Raw genomic sequence first — 20,520 nt, 5'->3', positions numbered from 1 at the left:
AATAAACTGCAGCTGCCCTATGGAAAAGTGGTCTGACTCTAAAAGAAAAAGAGACAGAAAACGACAAGAATAACATCAACAAAAATACCCCACAAAAACCCCACTCGAAGGTCAGCAAGATCAAAGATTTAAGATAGATAAGCCCACAAAGATGAGAAAGAATCAATGCAAAAATGCTGAAAACTCAAAAGCCAGAGTGCCTCTTCTCCAACTGACTGAAACACCTCTCCAGCAAAGGCACAAAACTAGGCTGAGGATGAGATGGCTGAATTAACAGAAGTAAGCTTCAGAATGTGGGTAATAATGAACTTTGCTGACTTAAAGGAGCATGTTGTAACCCAATGCAAAGAAGCTAAGAATCATACAAAAAAATACAGGAGCTGATAACCAGAATAGCCAGTTTAGAGAGGAACATAACCAACCTGATAAAGCCAGAAAACACAATACTAGAATTTCTCAATGCAATCACAAGTATCAATAGCAGAATAGACCAAGTGGAGGAGAGAATCTCAGAGCTTGAAGACTATCTTTCTGAAATAAGACAGGCAGACAAGAATAAGACAGGCGAAAAAGAATGAAATGAAATGAACAAAAACCACTGAGAATTATGGGATTATGTAAGGATACCGAACCTATGACTGATTGGGGTTCTTGAAAGAGATGGGGAGAATGGAACCAAGTTGGAAAACATACTTCAGGATATCATCCAGGAGAAGTTCCCCAACCTAGCAAGACAGGCCAACCTTCAAATTCAGGAAATGCAGAGAAACCCAGTAAGATGCTCCACGAAAAAATCAACCCCAAGACATAAACATCAGATTCTCCAAGGTTGAAATGAAAGAAAAAATGTTAAGGGCAGCCAGAGAGAAAGGCCAGGTCACCTACAAAGTGAAGCACATCAGACTAACAGTAGACTTCTCAGAGAAAGCCCTATAAGCCAGAAGACATTGGGGGCCAATATTCAACATTCCTAGAGTTTACAACCTAGAATTTCATATCCAGTCAAACTAAGCTTCATAGGCAAAGGAGAAATAATATCTTTTTCAGACAAGCAAATGCTGAGGTTATTCATCACCAGCAGGCCTGCCTTGCAAGAACTCCTGAAGGAAGCACTAAATCTAGAAAAAAAAAATCCTTTATGAGCCTCCATAAAAATGCACTGAAGTACACAGGCCAGTGACACTATGAAACAACCACATAAAGAAGTCTGCAAAATAACCAGATAGCATTATGATGACAGGATTAAATTCACACAAGACCCATTGGTATGCTGCCTTCAAGAAACTCATCTCATGTGCAAAGACACACATAGGCTGAAAATAAAGGGATGGGAGAAAATTTACCAAGCAAATGGAAAACAAACAAACAAAAAAAGTGGGGTAGCAATCCTAGTTTCTGACAAAACAGATTTTAAACCAACAAAGATAAAAAAAGACAAAGAAGGGCATTACATATGATTATGTATATGATTACATATGATTATGAAATCACAAAAGGAAAGTGAAGAAGGACCTCTTCAAAGGGAACTACAAACCACTGCTCAAGGAAATCAGAGTGGACACAAACAAATGGAAAAACCTTCTATGCTGATAGATAAGAAGAATCAATATTGTGAAAATGACCATGCTGCCCAAAGCAATTTATAGATCAATGCTATTCCTATTAAACTACCATTGACATTCTTCACAGGTATAGGGTTCAATTTGACAAGAAGAGCTAACTATCCTAAATATATGTGCACCCAATACAGGAGCACCCAGATAACACCCCCACTGACAATATTAGACAGATCATTGAGACAGAAAATTAACAAAGATATTCAGGATGTGAACTCAGCTCTGGATTAAGTGGACCTGGTAGATATCTACAGAACTCTTCACCCAAAAACAACACAACATACATTCTTCTCATTACCACATGGTGCTTACTCTAAAATTGATCACATAATCAGAAGTAAAACACTCCTCAGCCAATGTGAGAGAACTGAAATCATAACAGTCTCTCAGATGACAGCACAATCAAATTAGAGCTCAAGATTAAGAAATTCACTCAAAACCACACAACTACCTGTAAATTGAACAACGTGCTCCTCAATGACTCTTGGGTAAATAATGAAATTAAGGCAGAAATCAAGAAGGTCTTTGAAACTAATGCAAACAAACAGATAATGTACCAGAATCTCTGGGATGCAGCTAAAGTGGTGGTAAGAGGGATGTTTATAGCACTAAATGCCCACATCAAAAAGCTAGAAAGATCTCAACACACTACCATCACAACTAAAAGAACTAGAGAATCAAGAGCAAACAAACCCCAAAGCTAGAAGAAAAGAAATAACCAAGATCAGAGCTGAACTGAAGGAGATAGAGACATGAAAAATCCTTCAAAAATCAATGAATGCAGCAGCTGATTTTTTGAAAAAAATTAATAAAATAGATAGACTGCTTAGACTAATAAAAAAGAAAACATAAGAATCAAATAGCCACAATCAGAAATGATAAGGGGAATATCATCAATGACTCCATAGAAATACAACCAACCATTGGAGAATACTACAAACACCTCTATGAACATAAACTAGAAAATCTAGAAGAAATGGATAGATTCCTGGACACATACAGCCTCCCAAGACTGAACAAGGAAGAAATCAAATCCTTGAATAGGCCAATAATGAGTTCTGAAATCGAGGCATTAATAAATAGCCTACCAACCAAAAAAGCCCAGGACCAGGCAGATTCACAGCTGAATTCTACTAGAGGTACAAAGAAGATCTGGTACCATTTCTAATGAAACTATTACAAACAATTGAAAATGAGGGACTCCTCCCTAACTCCTTTCCTGAGGCCATCATTATTCTGATACCAAAACTTGGCAGAGATATAACAAAAAAGAAAACTTCAAGCCATCCCTAATGAACATCAGGGCAAAAATCCTTAAAAAAAAATACTGGCAAACCAAATCCAGCAGTACATCAAAAAGCTTATCCACCATAATCAAGCTGGCTTCATCCCTGGGATGTAAGGTTGGTTCAAAATATGCAAATCAATAAATGTAATTCATCGCATAAACAGAACTAAAGACAAAAATCACATGATTATCTCAATAGATGCAGAAAAGGCTTTTGATATAATTCAACATCCTTTCATGTTTAAAACTCTCAATAAACTAGGTATTGAAGGAACCTCAAAATAATAAGAACCATATATAACAAACCCACAGCCAATATCATACTGAATGGGCAAAAGCTGGAGGGATTCTTCTTGAAAACTGGCACAAGAGAAGGATGCTGTCTTTCACCACTCCTATTCAACATAGTATTGGAAGTTCAGGCCAGGGCAATTAGGCAAGAGAAAGAAATAAAGTGTATTCATATAGGAAGAGAAGAAGTCAAATTATCTTTTTTGTAGATGACATGATCCTATATCTAGAAAACCCCATCATCTCAGCCCAAAAGCTTCTTAAGTTGATAAGTAACTTCAGCAAAGTCTGAGAATACAAAATCAATGTGCAAAAGTCACTAGCATTCTTATACACCAACAACAGGCAAGCAGAGAGCCAAATCATGAATAAACTCCTGTTCACAATAGCTACAAAAAGAACAAAATACCTAGGAATACAGCTAACAAGGGAAGTGAAGGACCTATTCAAGGAGAACTACAAACCACTGCTCAAGGAAATCAGAGAGGACACAAACAAATGGAACAACATTCTATGCTCATGGATAAGAAGAATCAATATTGTGAAAAGGACCATACTGCCCAAAGCAATTTAGAGATTCAATGCTATTCCTATTAAACTACCATCGACATTCTTCACAGAACTAGAAAAAAATACTTTAAAATTCATATGGAACCAAAAAAGAGCCTGAATAGCCAAACCAATCCTATGAAAAAAGAACAAAGCTGGCCAGGCACAGTGGCTCACGCCTGTAATCCCAGCACTTTGGGAGGCTGAGGTGGGCGGATCATGAGGTCAGGAGATGGAGACCATCCTGGCTAACATGGTGAAACCACATCTCTACTAAAAATACAAAAAATTAGCCAGGTGCGGTGGCAGATGCCTGTAATCCCAGCTACTTGGGAGGCTGAGGCAGGAGAATGGTGTGAACCTGGGAGGTGGAGCTTGCAGTGAGCCGAGATCCTGCCACTGCACTCCAGCCTGGGTAGCATCACACTGCCCAACTTCAAACTATACTACAAGGCTACAGTAACCAAAACAACAAGGTACTGGCACAAAAACAGACACAGAGACCAATGGAATGGAATAGAGAACTCAGAAATAAGATTGTACATCTACAACCATCTGATCTTTGACAAATGTGACAAAAACAAGCAATGGGGAAAGGATTCCCTATTTAATAAATGGTGCTGGGAGAATTGGCTAGCCATATGCAGAAAACTGAAACTGGACCCCTTCCTTACACGTTATACAAAAATTAACTCAAGATAGATTAAAGACTTAAATGTAAAACCAAAAACTATAAAAACCCTAGAAGAAAATCTAGGCAAATACCATTCAGAATATAGGCACGGGCAAAAATTTTATGACAAAAATTTGAAACGCAATTGCAACTAAAGCAAAAATTGACAAATGGGATCTAATCAAACTAAAGAGCATCTGCACAGCAAAATAAGCTATCATTAGAGTGAACAGACAACCTACAGAATGGGAGAAAATTTTTGCAGTCTATCCATCTGACAAAGGTCTAATATCCAGAGTCTACAAGGAAGTTAGGCTGATTTAGGAGAAAAAAAAACATTAAAAAATGGGCAAAAGACATGAACAGATACTTCTTAAAAGTGGCCAACAAACATGAAAGAAAGCTCAACATCACTGATCATTAGAGACATGCAAATCAAAACCACAACGAGCTACCATCACATGCCAGTCAGAATGGTGATTATTAAAAAGTCAAAAAACAACAGATGCTGTCAAGGTTGCAAAGAAAAAGGAATGCTTTTACACTGTTGGTGGGAGTGTAAATTAGTTCAACCATTGTGGAAGACTGTGTAGTGATTCCTCAAAGACCTAGAGGCAGAAATACCATTTGACCCAGCAATCCCATTACTGGGTATATACCCAGAAGAATATAAATCATTCTATTATAAAGGTACACGCACACATATGTTCACTGCAGCACAATTCACAATAGCAAAGATATGGAATCAACCTAAATGCCCATCAATGATAGACTGGATAGAGAAAATGTGGTACATATACACCATGGAATACTATGCAGCCATAAAAAGGAATGAGATCATGTCCTTTGCAGGGACATGGTTGGAGCTGGAAGCCCTTATCCTCAGCAAACTAATGCAGGAACAGAAAACCAAACACTACATGTTCTCACTTATAAGTTGGAGCTGAAGGATGAGAACACATGGACACATGGGCAGGGGAACAACACACACTGGGGACTGTTGGGGTGGTGGTCAGGGGAGGAAGGGCATCAGGAAAAATAGCTAATGAATGCTGGGCTTAATACCTAGGTGATGGCATGATCTGTGCAGCAAACCACCATGGCACACATTTACCTATGTAACAAACCTGCACATCCTGTGCATGTACCCCTGAACTTAAAATAAGAATCAAGCACTGCATGAAGAATAATAGTAGGGATAACTAGTTTAGATGTGGGAGTCAGGGAAGGTATCTTTGAAGAAGTAACCATTTAATTGAGACCAAAGAATCGGTGATATTTGGCAAAATACAGGAGAAAGAACATCTTGGGCAGAAGGAATACGTGTGCCAAGACCATAAGGTCAAAGGATCATGGCTTGTTTGAGAAACTGAAGAAAAAGCAAGTGTCACTGAAGCACAATCAGAGCAAGAGATTAGGAGATGAATCTGGAAAGGTAGGCAGGACATTTTTAGGCTGTACCAAGATTTTTTTTCTTCCACTTTGAGAGTAATGGGAAGTCTTAAATCACTACAAAAGAGAAAATAAATATTTTAAATTATGTTTTAAAAAGATTGACTATTGCATATAAGTACCAAGAGACATGTACAAGCACATTAATCATATTACTATTGTTAATAACAAAATTGAAAATCTAAATGTTTACCAATCGATAAATAACCTGTGATACACGTGTGTGTGTGTGTGTGTGTATATATATATATCACAGTTTATATATATAATGACAATGGACTAGTAGGTAGCAGTGAAAAGAAATAAGAATAGCTATATGCACAATGAACTAAACATGTAATGTTGAACAAAAGATGCAAGTGGCAGAAGATCATACAGGATGATTTCATTTATTTAAAGTTAAAAACACACAAAGCTAAAAAATATTATTTTGAAACATATTAATAAGTACAAAATCCAGAATAGTAGTTATCTCAGATGATAGGATACCCTGAGATCTAGGAGAGAATACAGAGGACTTCAAAAATAAAATAATATGCTTTTTCTATGGCTGACTGGTATATATATGAGTGATTATGGTATTGTTATTTATATCTTATACATATTTTATAAATGCTCTTTTTGGCTATTCACTATTTAATAAAAATTTAATTTCTTGTTGTTACATTGAGAATGAGCAGGAAAAAATTGGGGAAACCAATTAGGAAGCTATTACAAACAGTATAGGCAAGAAATGATGGAGGTTTGGGTTAGAATGCCATAATCAAGACGTAGATAAGTGAGTGGATTTTAAGGCAGAACTGACAGGCAGAGTAGAAACCACAAGTGAATGTTTTATCATTCGAAAGCAAATGTGACATGAATGTTTTAAGGACTCATAATAAGATGCCCAACAGTGACTCTTCTATCCTACAAAATGGCTGAATAGATGTACAACTAATAATTTACATTGCTCTTACTATGTGCTAGGCTCTATTCTGGATACCTAACATATCACATTATTATTCCAGTTTTATAAATGAAAAAAATTAAAGCTTAAAAACATTTAGCAACTAACTGAACATCTCACAGTTCATAAATGGCAGATTCATGCAATAAATTCATTTCAATTTTATTCCTTTCTCAAGTATGTATAGAGGCTGGACAAATGTATTCCTATAATGCATATTACTTCAAAATGCAGCATAAATCTGGTGATCTTATATTAGCTATACAAAGAACTCTAAGTTGGAATAAAATAAATTTAAGTGGATTCTGATACTATGAAAATACAAAAGTATTGATTTATTGAGAAGTAATCCTGTGCATATTTGAGGGTCTGGCACCTAATGGTTATTAAAACATGTTTTCTGAAGGAATGTAACTGACCTCTTTTCTATATCCTTGAATGTGACAGACTCTCTTTGGGAATTTGCCTCCTTAGATGACGTGTCATTCAAATCATCACCTTAAAAAGGAAAGAGTATTTTTCCATAATTAACAACAGACCTAAAATTTATCTGGTAAACTAATGAGGTTTAACCTTTAACATTGTTTAGTTAGTGAATTATCATAGAATATCTTTATTTAACATACAGTATCTGAGAATTAACTTATCAAAACAAAGTGGGAATTAGAGGAGCAGAGAATGTTCTTACATTGTCAGAACTGATTTTTATTTATTTGAAGCATAAAGCTGCATACATTCATTCTTTATTCTATTCTATCCTTTTTAAAATAAGACTGATTGTTCCAAAATGTAAACTTTGAAACATTCAAGTGACTACGACCAAATATGGTACTCATTACAAGCTAAACAATAAATCGGCCCTCATAAAGTGGGGCAATAAAAAAAGAAGCTGCATGCTTTCAAGTAACAAATTTATTAAAACAAACATTCAGCTGGGGCATGTTAGGCAGATTGTAGTCATCCCCCTCTCACTCCCATTACCCACCTTTTTTGTCCAACTAATTCATTCCACAGAGAAACACAAAGAGTAATTATTCATTCTTCCTTGTAGCTTATTTTTATATTTGTTTTCTTAATATTAAAAAAATGCTTCTTTTAGTGTACAGAAGAAAACAGTCACCCATAATTCCACCACCTAAATATAACAACTAGTAATATGTTGATGCATTTCTTTGTGGGTTTTTATATAAAGATATAGATTATATAAAAACATAATATTTTAAAATTTGAACCTAAATAGAAAACTAAAAACAGAGTTGAGTGCTGATTCTGCTTTTTAGGCCTGTCTCTTTGTTATTAATAATCTTTTGAAAAATGATTTTGTTGCATCATAATTTATTAAGCCATTCATCCATTGTTGGGATTCAAATAATTGTTGTTTTATGATTATAAGTAATTCTGCTATGAATGCACCTCCTTGTGCATAAATCTTTCTATGCTTCTCTGATTATTTATTTATAATAAATTCCTAGAATAAAGGATAGTAGACCAGAGTATATGGATATTTTTAGCATATAATGTCAAATAGCTCACCAAGATAAGTTCAATCAATTTTTTATCACCCACTTCAGCATCCCTTATTCTGCAGATCCTTTAAGTGTTCTTCCCCTTCTGCTACTACCAAAGATGAAAAAATATATACATTTTTATTTTTTATTATACTTTAAGTTCTGGGATACATGTGCAGAATGTGCAGGTTTGTTACATAGGTATACATGTACCATGGTGGTGTGCTGCATCCATCAACCCATCATTGACATTAGGTATTTCTCCTAGTGCTATCCCTCCCCTTGACCCCCACCCCTGACAGGCCCCAGTGTATGATGTTCCCCCCTTGTGCCCATATGTTCTCATTGTTCAACTCCAGCTTATGAGTGAGAACATGTGGTGTCTGGTTTTCTGTTCCTGTGTTAGTTTGCTGAGAATGATGGTTTCCAGCTTAATCCATGTCCCTGCAAAGGACATGAACTCATTCTTTTTTATGGCTGCATAGTATTCCATGGTGTATATGTGCCATATTTTCTTTATCCAGTCCACCATTGATGGGCATTTGGGTTGGTTCCAAGTCTTTGCTATTGTGACTAGTGCTACAATAAACATACATATGCATGTTTCTTTATAGTAGAATGATTTATAATCCTTTGGGTATATACCCAGTAATGGGATTGTTGAGTCAAATGGTATTTCTGGTTCTAGATCCTTGAGGAGTCACCACACTGTCTTCCAGAATGGTTGAACTAATTTACACTCCCACCAACAGTGTAAAAGCATTCCTATTTCTCCACATCCTCTCCAGCATTGCTGAGTCTGTCCCAAAGACTCTGGTTGAGCGACGGATGAAAGAAGTATGTGGACACGGGTATTTTGCCTGACTGCACAGCTAGGGAACCACATGGCTCAGCACTGCAGATGAGAGTCCAGCAGCCAAGAGAGTGCAGCCCTGATAAGCCGGCTACACTCATATTTATTTAGTACAGATTTAATGACAAAGGCTTGGAGCAAACACAATTTGTGATAATAAACATTGTCAACCCCGCTGAGTAGAGAGCAGTCCTGCACACGAAAGATCAAAGGCCGGTTTTAGGACAACATGAGTAAACAAGCTATTTAGATAAACTCCTCTACATTCCTTTGTATCTACGCCCTTTGCCCCTGGGTAAGAACAGCTGCCTTCAGCTCATTCTTCCCTGAAGCTTTGCAAAACCCCCGGCCTTCCAAGAAGGTTTGCATCTTTTCCTATAATTTCTCCCACAATCCTGACCAATCTCCTACATCTCCCCCTTTTCTGTTTTTTGCATCAGGTTTTGTTGATTGAAGAGTACAGACGCATGCAGCAACAGGTTTGTCAGGCGCAGTGGTTATAACTCGTATTCCAGCTTTGCATCCTAGAATTAGTAAATAACATAAGACAAAAATGAGTATAATCAGTATCATTCTTTTCCAATCAAGAAGTGACCCCCCCCAGGAGTGGGGGGTCTATCCAGGAGAGATGTCCTTGCACATCATTCCATGTGGCTGTTTGTTGGGCATGTAGATCTACGGCGATTAGGGATTCTAGAATTTTAGTTTAAGTTGCCTTACGTCTGCTGTTAAATTATCAGTTTCCCCAGAGGTGTTGTTTCACCTCATCCCAACTACATATTGATTGATTCCAAGATAGAGAGGTGACACAGATATGCTTATGCTCCCAGTCACAGTTTAGTTGCTGTCAGAATGCCAGTGCATCTTGTTGCTCCCCTACATATTCCAAGGCAGCTTCAAGGGCTTGCAGGCATGCAAGAATCTTTTGATCTATACCCTGCTGTAAGAGAATTCATTAGACACATTTTTGGCCAAGTTATCTATAAAGGTAGCTATTTGTACTGATTCAGTAATACAGGCCACAGCAACAATAGCAGTTGCCAAGATGACTATGGCTGAGATTTTAAAGGCTATAAGTGTGCCCATGAATCTTTTGGGTCTCACCTAGGACAGGGCACATTCTAAGATGGCAAGGGCAGAGGAACCTTGCCAATCATGTGTCAAATTGACTGGTAGGAATGCCTCAGATTTTCTCCTTAATACCATGACACTAGTAATATTTTAACTAGATATACTGTAATTAGTGATACATGAGGTGAACCAAGCCTGTCCCTGCACTCAGGTCACAAACTTGGAGTTTTGGGGTGTAATGGAAATATTAGCTCCCATAAGGAAAACATATGGATGGGTAGTGCAAATCAGGCACTGATCTGTGTGATTATGAATAACGTTCGTAATATAATTGTTACTGGAATTACGATATGTCCCATGCCAGGTGTTAAGGGAGGTGCTAAGATGTCCTAGGCACCATAAAGTGTCTTGGGGTGGCATGGACTTTACTTGGGGTCTGGGATATCTCCTCTCCCCATTGGCCCAAATCACAGGGGAATGGGATGTGACTATGAAACTGATTGATGCCACAATGGATGTGGACATCAGTATGGTAACCCTGCAAATGTGTGGGGGAAAGAAAGAGAGATCAGACTGTTACTGTGTCTATGTAGAAAAAGACAGGCATAAGAAACTTCATTTTGATCTGTACTAAGAAAAATTTTTCTGCCTTGAGATGCTGTTAATCTGTAAACCTAGCCCCAACCCTGTGCTCGCAGAAACATGTGTTGTATTGACTCAAGGTTTAATGGATTTAGGGCTGTGCAGGATGTGCTTTGTTAAAATTGTGTTTGCAGGCAGTATGCTTGGTAAAAGTCATCGCCATTCTCCATTCTCAAGTACCCAGGGACACAATGCACTGCGGAAGGCCACAGGGACCTCTGCCCAAGAAAGCCTGGGTATTGTCCAAGGTTTCCCCCTACTGAGACAGCCTGAGATATGGCCTCATGGGAAGGGAAAGACCTGATCATCCCCCAGCCTGACACCCGTAAAGGGTCTGTGCTGAGGAGGATTAGTGAAAGAGGAAGGCCTCTTTGCAGTTGAGATAAGAGGAAGGCATCTGTCTCCTGCTCATCCCTGGGAATGAAATGTCTCGGTGTAAAACCCAATTGTACATTCTATTTACTGAGATAGGAGAAAACCACCTTATGACTGGAGGTGAGACATGCTGGCAGAAATACTGCTCTTTACTGCATTGAGATGTTTGTGTAAAGTCAAACATAAATCTGGCCTACATGCACATCAAGTCACAGCACCTTTCCTTAAACTTATTTATGACAAAGAGTCCTTTGCTCACATGTTTTCCTGCTAACCCTCTCCCCACCATGACCCTATAGTTCTGCCACATCCCCCTTGCCAGAATAGTAGAGATAATGATCAATAAATACTGAGGGAACTCAGAGACCAGTGCCAGTGCAGGTCCTCACTTGCTGAGCGCCGGTCCCCTGGGCCCACTTTTCTTCCTCTATACTTTGTCTCTGTCTTATTTCTTTTCTCAGTCTCTCATCTCCACCTTGCAAGAAATACCCACAGGTGTGGAGGGGCAGGCCCCCTTCAAAATGGCCATGGTGGCTCCAGTCTAAGATGTTATAATTGCCTAACTGGAGGCTACGGGCTTGTCCTCCGTGACAGACCTCCCAACTAAAGTGGAATCCATTACTTTTCCGGCTTTGTTCTTTAGCACAGGGAGGAATGTTTGGGAAGGTGGCATTGGTAGTGTTGCCTGGTTTGAGGCTACCTGCAACCAAGAATGTTAAGGCATTTCCTTTGCCATGATGTAGCCATAATTGTGTTTGGGCGGGCACACAATAAAGGTTAGAACTTTTATAACTTACACACAGCGGGAGGATAGTGGAGCGATATATAGTGTTACCTGGCACCTTAGTCCAATGTGTGCCATTAATGAGAGACCCCACTGGGGGTAAGTCAATCCCTCCTAGCCAAGCAGTTATGTTATTAGAGGCTGGGAAGGAGGTGTCTGCCCAAGTAACAGAGGGGAAGAAAGGCAGATCTAAGAGATAAGCCCATAGAGTAACAGTTGCGGGTTGCAGGCAGAGTGAGAGAATAAGAAGGTTTATTACCCTATGAGAGTTGCAATGTACAACAGAAAGTATATCAAGGAACAAATTATCTGGAGTGAATGGTGTCTGTGTCCAGAGCAGGATTCACTCAGCCTCCTGAGCTGTCTTCAGCATCCCACAGGTAATGTCTGGGGATTGTGTTGTCTGAGGAAGCTGCATCGTCTGGGACTGCGGGTCCTGTAGGGACATTTCCTTCATTTCTGGTACTGGGTTGGGTCCTAGCATGCCATGGATGGTTTTATGCATTGTGCTGGAATCCAAAGAGGACCTGAGGGGGTGTGAACACAGCATATCCTCTTCCCCATGTTAGCAACTCATTTGGACCACACCATACATTAATATTTACATCTTTCCATAAAACCACAAGTTTTATGTTTTGAGGGGCTTTAGTAAAATGCTTTTTTATGGTTGATTGAAATTTATCATCTAAATTTTAAAAATTAAGGGTAAACAAGACTTGTGCTAGTAGTGTTGAAGGGTTTTTACTCATATTCCCCTCCTTTTTTTTCTGAGCATATTTTTAAGAATGGAATGGACACGTTCTACTATGGCCTGTCCTTGGGTACTATATGGGATGCCTGTGGAATGTTGGATGTTCTATGTGGGACAGAATTGTTGAAATTGTGAGCTGGCATAAGCTGGACAATTATCAGTTTTAATTTTTGTGGGCCACCCCATAAACACAAAAGTTAAAAGAAGATGTTTAATAACATATTGGGTGGACTCTCCAGGAAGAGCATGATAACTAATTAAGTGAGAATTGGTATCAATGAATACATGTACATATGTTAGTTTTCCAAATTCAGGGATGTGTTTAACATCTGTTTGCCATAACTAATTAGGTTCTAGTCCTCTAGGGTTAACACCTGTTGAAGGAGGGAACGTGTCTGTGAGCTGGCAATCTGGGAATTGCAGGATAATTTGTTTAGCTAGTCTCTGGGTAAGTTGAAATTGTTTAGGTACATTTCTCCAATTTTGGTGGAAAAATAGATGTGATTGGGTGGTTTGGTCAAGCAGTGATGTCGTAACTTGCAGGTCTGCTTGATCATTGCCATAAGCCAATGGGCCAAGCAGTGAGCTGTGGGGTCCAATATGTGTGATAAAAATAGGACGTGTACGTTGACCCAGCAATTGCTGAAGTCAAAGAAAAAGTGCACACAGAGTGGGCTTGAGAGTGGACTTAATGAGGGCTGTTTCAAGGTTCTGCAATAAATACAGTAAGCACAGTCACTAACAATATTGATGGGCTAAGCAGAATAGGCCTCCAGGGCCAATATTAAGGCTCCAACCTCGGCTCTCTGAGTGCCAGTAAATCCAGAATGAGTGAGGAAATTATGCAGTCTCCACCAAATAGCTGCTTTTCTATTTTTACCAGAAGCGTTAGGTATGGGGGAGTGAACTACTTTTGTAGGCACAACTACAGGAGTATGAGATAAGAACTGAATTAGTTTCTCAGCAGGAAGGGCATGTTTTATATGGCCTGCATAATCAGAGAGTGCTATCTGAAAATCTAGAGATAGGGGCAATATGCTTTGAATTGTCTTTTACTCAAAGAATTCTGATGACATCAGGGTCATAACCTAGCAACTGACTGCATCATCTGTGGCCTGTATAGATGACTTTACTAACTAGCTGGATATAGGGAGATAATGTTTTAGTCCTGGTATGTGAGTAAAAAAACCCATTTTAGAAAGTGCAGCCTGGGGGCTATCTGTCCTACTAATCCTGGTGGGGAATGCTTAGTAGGGAAAACAAACAATTGAACTGAATATTGCGGGTCTATGCAATCTAGTTGCCTCTGAGAAATAGCTTGCTCTATTTCCTCAATTTCCCTTTTTGCTGCAGGAGTTAAATATGTGGGAGAGTCTAGGGCTGTATTGCCCTTTAGGATAGGAAACAGGATTCGTAACTTATCAGTAGTTATGCCCAAGGTGGGGTAAAGCCAATTAATATCACCCAGTAATGTCTGATAATCATTTAAAGTGTGTAAGTTGCTAGTATTTAATTTAACCTTTTGAGATCTTACTGACCAGGAAGTTAGTATGTATCCAAGATATTTCCAAGGGGAGGAAAATTGTACTTTTTCAGGTGCTATGATTAAACCTCTTAACTGTGTATTCTTTAGAATGGAAGCATATAAACTTAAAAGTGCTGGCTCTGTTGGGGCTGCTAGTAAAATATCATCCATAAAATGAATAATCTTGCAATTAGGAAATTCTTTTCTACTTGGGAGCAAAGCCTGATTTACATGATACTGACACATAGTAGGACTGTTCAGCATCCCTTGAGAAAGCACTTTCCAATGAAGTTGGTGAGCTGGCCTTGCATTATTGACAGCTGGTGTGGTAAATGCAAATTTTTCTCTGTCTTGTTCTGCAAGGGGAATAGTATAGAAGTCGTCCTTTAAGTCAATAACGACTAGAGGCCAATCTTCAGGAATCGCCATGGGGGAAGGGAGGCCCTGTTAAAGAGGCCCCATAGGTTGCAAATTAGCATTGATAGCCTGTAAATCATGCAAAAGTCTCCATTTGCCAGATCTTTTGGGAATGACAAAAATGGGCGAATTCCAAGGGGTGTTTGATGGTTCTATATGGCCGACTTTTAATTACTCCTCAACTAATTCATGGGCTCTTTGTAACTTGTCTCCCTTTAAAGGTCACTGGTCTACCCAAATAGGATTTTGAGAGAGCTACATCAGGGGTAGAGGAGGAATAACAGTGGCCATTACTAGAAAGAGGTCTGCAAAGTGACCTCAATTAACCCTTTGGTAAATGGGCTAGTGGCTCCATTTTCTTTAATGCTTTTTCTTATCTCTTTATAAGTGTCAAAAGAAATGGGTTTGTATACCTGATTGTTTTGTCGATCTTGCATTACCGGGCAGGCTAAGAGCTCCCCTTCTAATGTCGCTTGCCTAAGACAGGGTCCCATAGCTGTAGTGTATCCCTTTTCTTTTTTCCAATTTACAGGAGGAGGGGGCTCAGGCAAAACCTCTGTTTTCTCTTTGTTATTTTTGCCTGGTAATGGCTGGGCTGAAGGAGAAGGAGGAGGTGGTAAGGTAGGTGATGATTCCTCCTCCCTTCCCTTTTTAGGCTCTTCTGTGTAGAATTGAGCAAAGCAGCCCTAAGTAAAGCCCATAATATCAGAGATGTTACTGGGACCCATTGCCCTTGTGCATGATCTTGTTTAAAATTTCTCCCCACTTGTTCCCAGAGCTCTATGTCTAGTGTACCCTCTTCTGGGAACCATGGGTTATGGGACACAACAGTTTGCATTAGGTCCCTTAATTGAGCCTGCAAAACCGAGGATCCGCCAGCTTTAAGCGGCTGTGAGAGGCAAAGCCAGCTGGATTTCTGGGTCGGGTGGGGGCTTGAAGAACTTTTCTGTGGCTAGTTAGAGGTTTGTAAAATGCACCAGTGTTCTGTAAAAATGCACCAATCAGTGCTCTGTGGCTAGCTAGAGGTTTGTAACATGGACCAATCAGCACTCTGTAAAATGGACCAATCAGCAGGACATGGGCAGGGACAAATAAGGGAATAAAAGCTGGCAACCCCAGCCAGCAGCGGCAACCCTCTTGGGTCCCCTTCCATGTTGTGGAAGCTTTCACTCTTCAAAATAAATCTTGCTGCTGGTCACTCTTTGGGTCCGTGCCACCTTTAAGGGCTGTAACACTTACTGTGAAGGTCCACGGCTTCATTCTTGAAGTCAGCGAGACCATGAACCCACTGGAAGAAACCAACTCCAGACACAGCTGTTTCAGTACATTTATATACTGTTGCTGTTGAGCTGATAACTGTTGTCCCATGATGAAAGCCTGAACAATTCCCTCAAACTTGGATATCCCAAGCGGGCACCAATGACTTACTGACTTACTGACAGCGCAGTCTCTTTACCTTCATTTTTGAGGGTTCCAACATGATCCATTGCAGTGTTCCTCACACGAGGCACCACCTGCCAAGTCTGTCCTGCAAACTCTGGCTGAGTGACAGATGAAAGAAGTATGCTGACACAGGTTGCCTGACAGCGTGGCTAGGGGACCACACAGCTCAGCACCACCAAAAAGAGTCCAGTAGCCGAGAGAGTGAGCCCCGATAAGCTGGCAATAATTGCATTTTTTCAGTACAGATTTAATGACAAAGGCTTGGAGCAAACACAATTTGTGGGTAATAAACATAGTTGACCCCCTGAATTGAGAGCAGTCCTGTGTGCAAACGATCAAAGGTCTGTTTTAGGACAACATCAGTAAACAACCTATTTAGAGTAACTCCTCTACATTCCTTTATACCTATGCCCTTTGACCCTGGGTAAGAACAGCTGCCTTCAGTTCATTCTTCCCTGAAGCTTTGCAAAACCTCCTGGCCTTCCAAGAAGGTTTGCATCTTTCCTTATAATTTCTCCCATCACCCTGACTGATCTCCTACACAGCATCTGTTGTTTCCTGACTTTTTAGTGGTCACTATTCTAACTGGCATGAGATGGTATCTCATTGTGGTTTTGATTTGCATTTTTCTAATGACCAGTGAAGATGAGCTTTTTTTCATGTTTGTTGGCTGCATAAATGTCTTCTTTTCAAAAGTGTCTGTTCATATCCTTTACCTGCTTTTTGATGGTTTTCTTTTTCTTGTAAATTTGTTTAAGTTCCTTGTGGATTCTGGATATTAGCCCTTTGTCAGAGGCACAGATTGCAAATGTTTTCTCCCAATCTGTAGGTTGCCTGTTGACTCTGATGATAGTTTCTTTTGCTGTGCAGAAGGTCTTTGGTTTAATTAGATACTATTTGTCAATTTTGGCTTTTGTTGCCATTGCTTTTGGTGTCTTAGTTGTGAAGTCTTTGCCCATGCCTATGTCCTGAATGGTATTGCTTAGGTTTTCTTCTAGGGTTTTTTATGTTTTTTAGGTCTGACGTTTAAGTTTTTAATCCATCTTGAGTTAATTTTTGTATAAGGTGTAAGGTATGGGTCCAGTTTCAGTTTTCTGCATATGTGTAGCCAGTTTTCCCAACATCATTTATTAAATAGAGAATCCTTTCCCCATTGCTTGTTTTTGTCAAGTTTCTCGAAGATCAGCTGGTTGTAGATGTGTGGTGTTATTTCTGAGGCTTCTGTTCTGTCCCATTGGTCTATATATCTGTTTTGGTACCAGTACCATGCTGTTTTTGTTACTGTAAGCCTTGTAGTACAGTTTGAAGTAAGGCAGTGTGATGCCTCCAGCTTTGCTCTTTTTGCTTAGGACTCTCTTGGCTATACAGGCTCATTTTTGGTTTCATGTGAAATTTAAAGTAGTTTTTTTCTAATTCTGTGAAGAAAATCAATTGTAGCTTGATGGGAATAGCATTGAATCTATAAATTATTTTGGGCAGTATGGCCATTTTCACGATATTGATTCTTCCTATCCATGAGCATGGAATATTTTTCCATTTGTTTATATCCTCTCTTATTTCCTTGAGCAGTGGTGTGTAGTTCTCCTTGAAGAGGTCCATCACATCCCTTGTAAGTTGTATTCCTAGGTATTTTATTTTCTTTGTAGCAATTGTCAATAAGAGTTCACTCATGATTTGGCTGTTTGTCTATTATTGGTGTAGAAGAATGCTTGTGATTTTTGCACGTTGATTTTGTATCCTGAGACTTTGCTGAAGTTGCTTATCAGCTTAAGAGTTTTAGGGCTGAGACAATGGGTTTTCTAAATGTACAATCATGTCATTTGCGAACAGAGGCAATTTGACATCCTCTCTTCCTATTTGAATACAGTTTATTTCTTTCTCTTGCCTGATTGCCCAGGCCAGAACTTCCAATACTATGTTGATTAGGAGTGGTGAGACTGGGCATTCTTGTCTTGTGCCAGTTTTCAAGGGGAATGCTTCCAGCTTTTGCTCATTCAGTATGACATTGGCTGTGGGTTTGTCATAAATAGCTCTTATTATTTTGAGATATGTTCTATCAATATCTAGTTTATTGAGTGTTTTTAGCATAAAGGTGTGTTGAATTATATCGAAGGCCTTTTCTGCATCTATTGAGATAATCACATGATTTTCGACATTGGTTCTGCTTATGTGATGTATTATGTTTATTGATTTGCATATGTTGAACCAGCCTTGCATCCCAGAGATGAAGCTGACTTGATCATTGTAGATAAGCTTTCTGATGTGCTGGTGGATTCAGTTTGCCAGTATTTTATTGAGGATTTTCACATTGATGTTCATCAGGGATACTGGCCTGAAATTTTCTTTTTTTCTGCATCTCTGCCAGGTTTTGGTACCAGGATGATGCTGGCTTCATAAAATGAGTTATAGAGGAGTCCCTATTTTCTATTGTTTGGAATAATTTCAGAAAAAAATGGTTCTAGCTCCTCTTTGTACCTCTGGTAGAATTCAGATGTTAATCTGTCTGGTCCTGGGCTTTTTTTGGTTGGTAGGCTATGGATTACTGTCTCAATTTCAGAACTTTTTATTGGTCTATTCAGGGATTCAACTTCTTCCTGGTTTAGTCTTGGAAGAGCGTATGTCTCCAGGAATTTATCCATTTCTTTTAGATTTTCTAGTTTATTTGCATAGAGGTGTTTATAGTATTCTCTGATGGTAGCTTGTATTACTGTGGGATCAGTGGTGATCTCTCCTTTATCATTTTTTATTGTGTCTATTTGATTCTTGTCTCTTTTCTTCTATATTATTCTGGCTAGCTGTCTATTTTTTTTTTTTTAAACCAGCTCCTGGATTCACTGATTTTTTTGAAGGGTTTCTCCTGTCTCTATTTCCTTCAGTTCTGCTCTGATCTTAGTTATTTCTTGTCTTCTGATAGCCTTTGAATTTGTTTGCTCTTGCTTCTCTAGTTCTTTTAATTGTAATGTTAGGGTGTTGATTTTAGATCTTTCCTGCTTTCTGACGTGGGCATTTAGTGATATACATTTCCCTCTAAACACTGCTTTAGCTGTGTCCCAGTGATTCTGGTAGGCTGTGTCTTTGTTCTCATTCATTTTAAAAACTTAGTCATTTCTGTTATTTACCTAGCTAATAATTTCGTTATTTACCCAGTAGTCGTTCAGAAGCAGGTTGTTCAGTTTCCATGTAGTTGTGTGGTTTTGAGTGAGTTCGTTAATCCTGAGTTCTAACTTGATTGCACTGTGGTCTGAGAGACTGTTATGATTTCCATTTTTTGCATTTGCTGAGGAGTGCATTACTTCAAATTATGTGGTCAATTTTAGAAAAAGTGTGATGTGGTGCTGAGAAGAATGTATATTCTGTAGATTTAGGGTGGAGAGTTCTGTAGATGTGTATTAGGCCTACTTGGTCCAGAGCTGAGTTCAAGTCCTGGATATCCTTGTGAATTTTCTGTCTTGTTGATCTAATATTGACTGTGGGGTGTTAAAGTCTCCCATTATTATTGTGTGGGAGTCTAAGTCTGTTTGTCGGTCTCTAAGAACTTGCTTTATGAATCTTGTATTCTCCTGTATTGGATGCATACATATTTAGGATTGTTAGCTCTTCTTGTTGCATTGATCCCTTTACCATTATGTAATGCCCTTCTTTGTCTCTTTGGAGCTTTGTTGGTTAAAAGTCTGTTTTACCAGAGACAAGGATTGCAACCCCTGCTTTTTTTTTTTTTGGTTTCCATTTGCTTGGTAGATCTTCTTCTATCCCTTTATTTTGAGCCTATGTGTGTCTTTGTACATGAGATGGGTCTCCTGAATACAGCACACTGATGGGTCTTGACTCTTTATCCAATGAGCCAGTCTGTGTCTTTCAACTGGGGCATTTAGCCCATTTACATTTAAGGTTAATATTGTTATGTGTAAATTTGACCCTGTCATTATAATGCTAGCTGGTTATTTTACCCACTAGTTGATTAGTTTCTTCATAGTGTTGATGATCTTTACAATTTGGTATGTTTTTGGAGTGGCTGGTACTAGTTTTCCCTTTCCATATTTAGTGCTTCCTTCAGGAGCTCTTGTAAGGCAGGCCTGGTGATGACCAAATCTCTCAGCATTTGCTTGTCTATAAAGGATTTTGTTTCTCCTTTGCTTATGAAGCTTAGTTTGGCTGGATATTAAATTCTGGGTTGGGACTAGGAGGTTCCAAGATGGACAAATAGGAACAGCTATAGTCTGCAGCTCCAAGTGTGAGCAATGCAGAAGACGGGTGATTTCTGCAAGTCCAACTGAGGTACCAGGTTCATCTCACTGGGGCTTGGCAGACAGTAGGTGCAGCCCATGGAGCAGGG

The 20,520-nt window shown here is 39.1% G+C and overlaps 1 protein-coding gene across 26 annotated transcripts in view; it reads right to left on the bottom strand.

The window, feature by feature from the left end:
* DNAH14 (dynein axonemal heavy chain 14) overlaps positions 1 to 20,520 on the bottom strand; it is a 469,633-nt gene that overhangs the window by 160,898 nt on the left and 288,215 nt on the right. For all 26 annotated transcript variants that reach the window (XM_011544062.3, XM_011544067.3, XM_017000296.2 and 23 more), the window contains one exon: positions 7,238 to 7,316. In XM_011544062.3, coding sequence (XP_011542364.1) covers positions 7,238 to 7,316 — 79 coding nt within the window. The remainder of the gene's footprint in view (positions 1 to 7,237; positions 7,317 to 20,520) is intronic.

The sequence above is a fragment of the Homo sapiens genome, chromosome 1 (assembly GCF_000001405.40).
Source record: "Homo sapiens chromosome 1, GRCh38.p14 Primary Assembly".
Classification (NCBI taxonomy): Eukaryota; Metazoa; Chordata; class Mammalia; order Primates; family Hominidae; genus Homo; species Homo sapiens.
The sequence above is the reverse complement of the archived record's forward strand: the minus strand, read 5'-3'. Positions and strand labels throughout refer to the sequence as shown.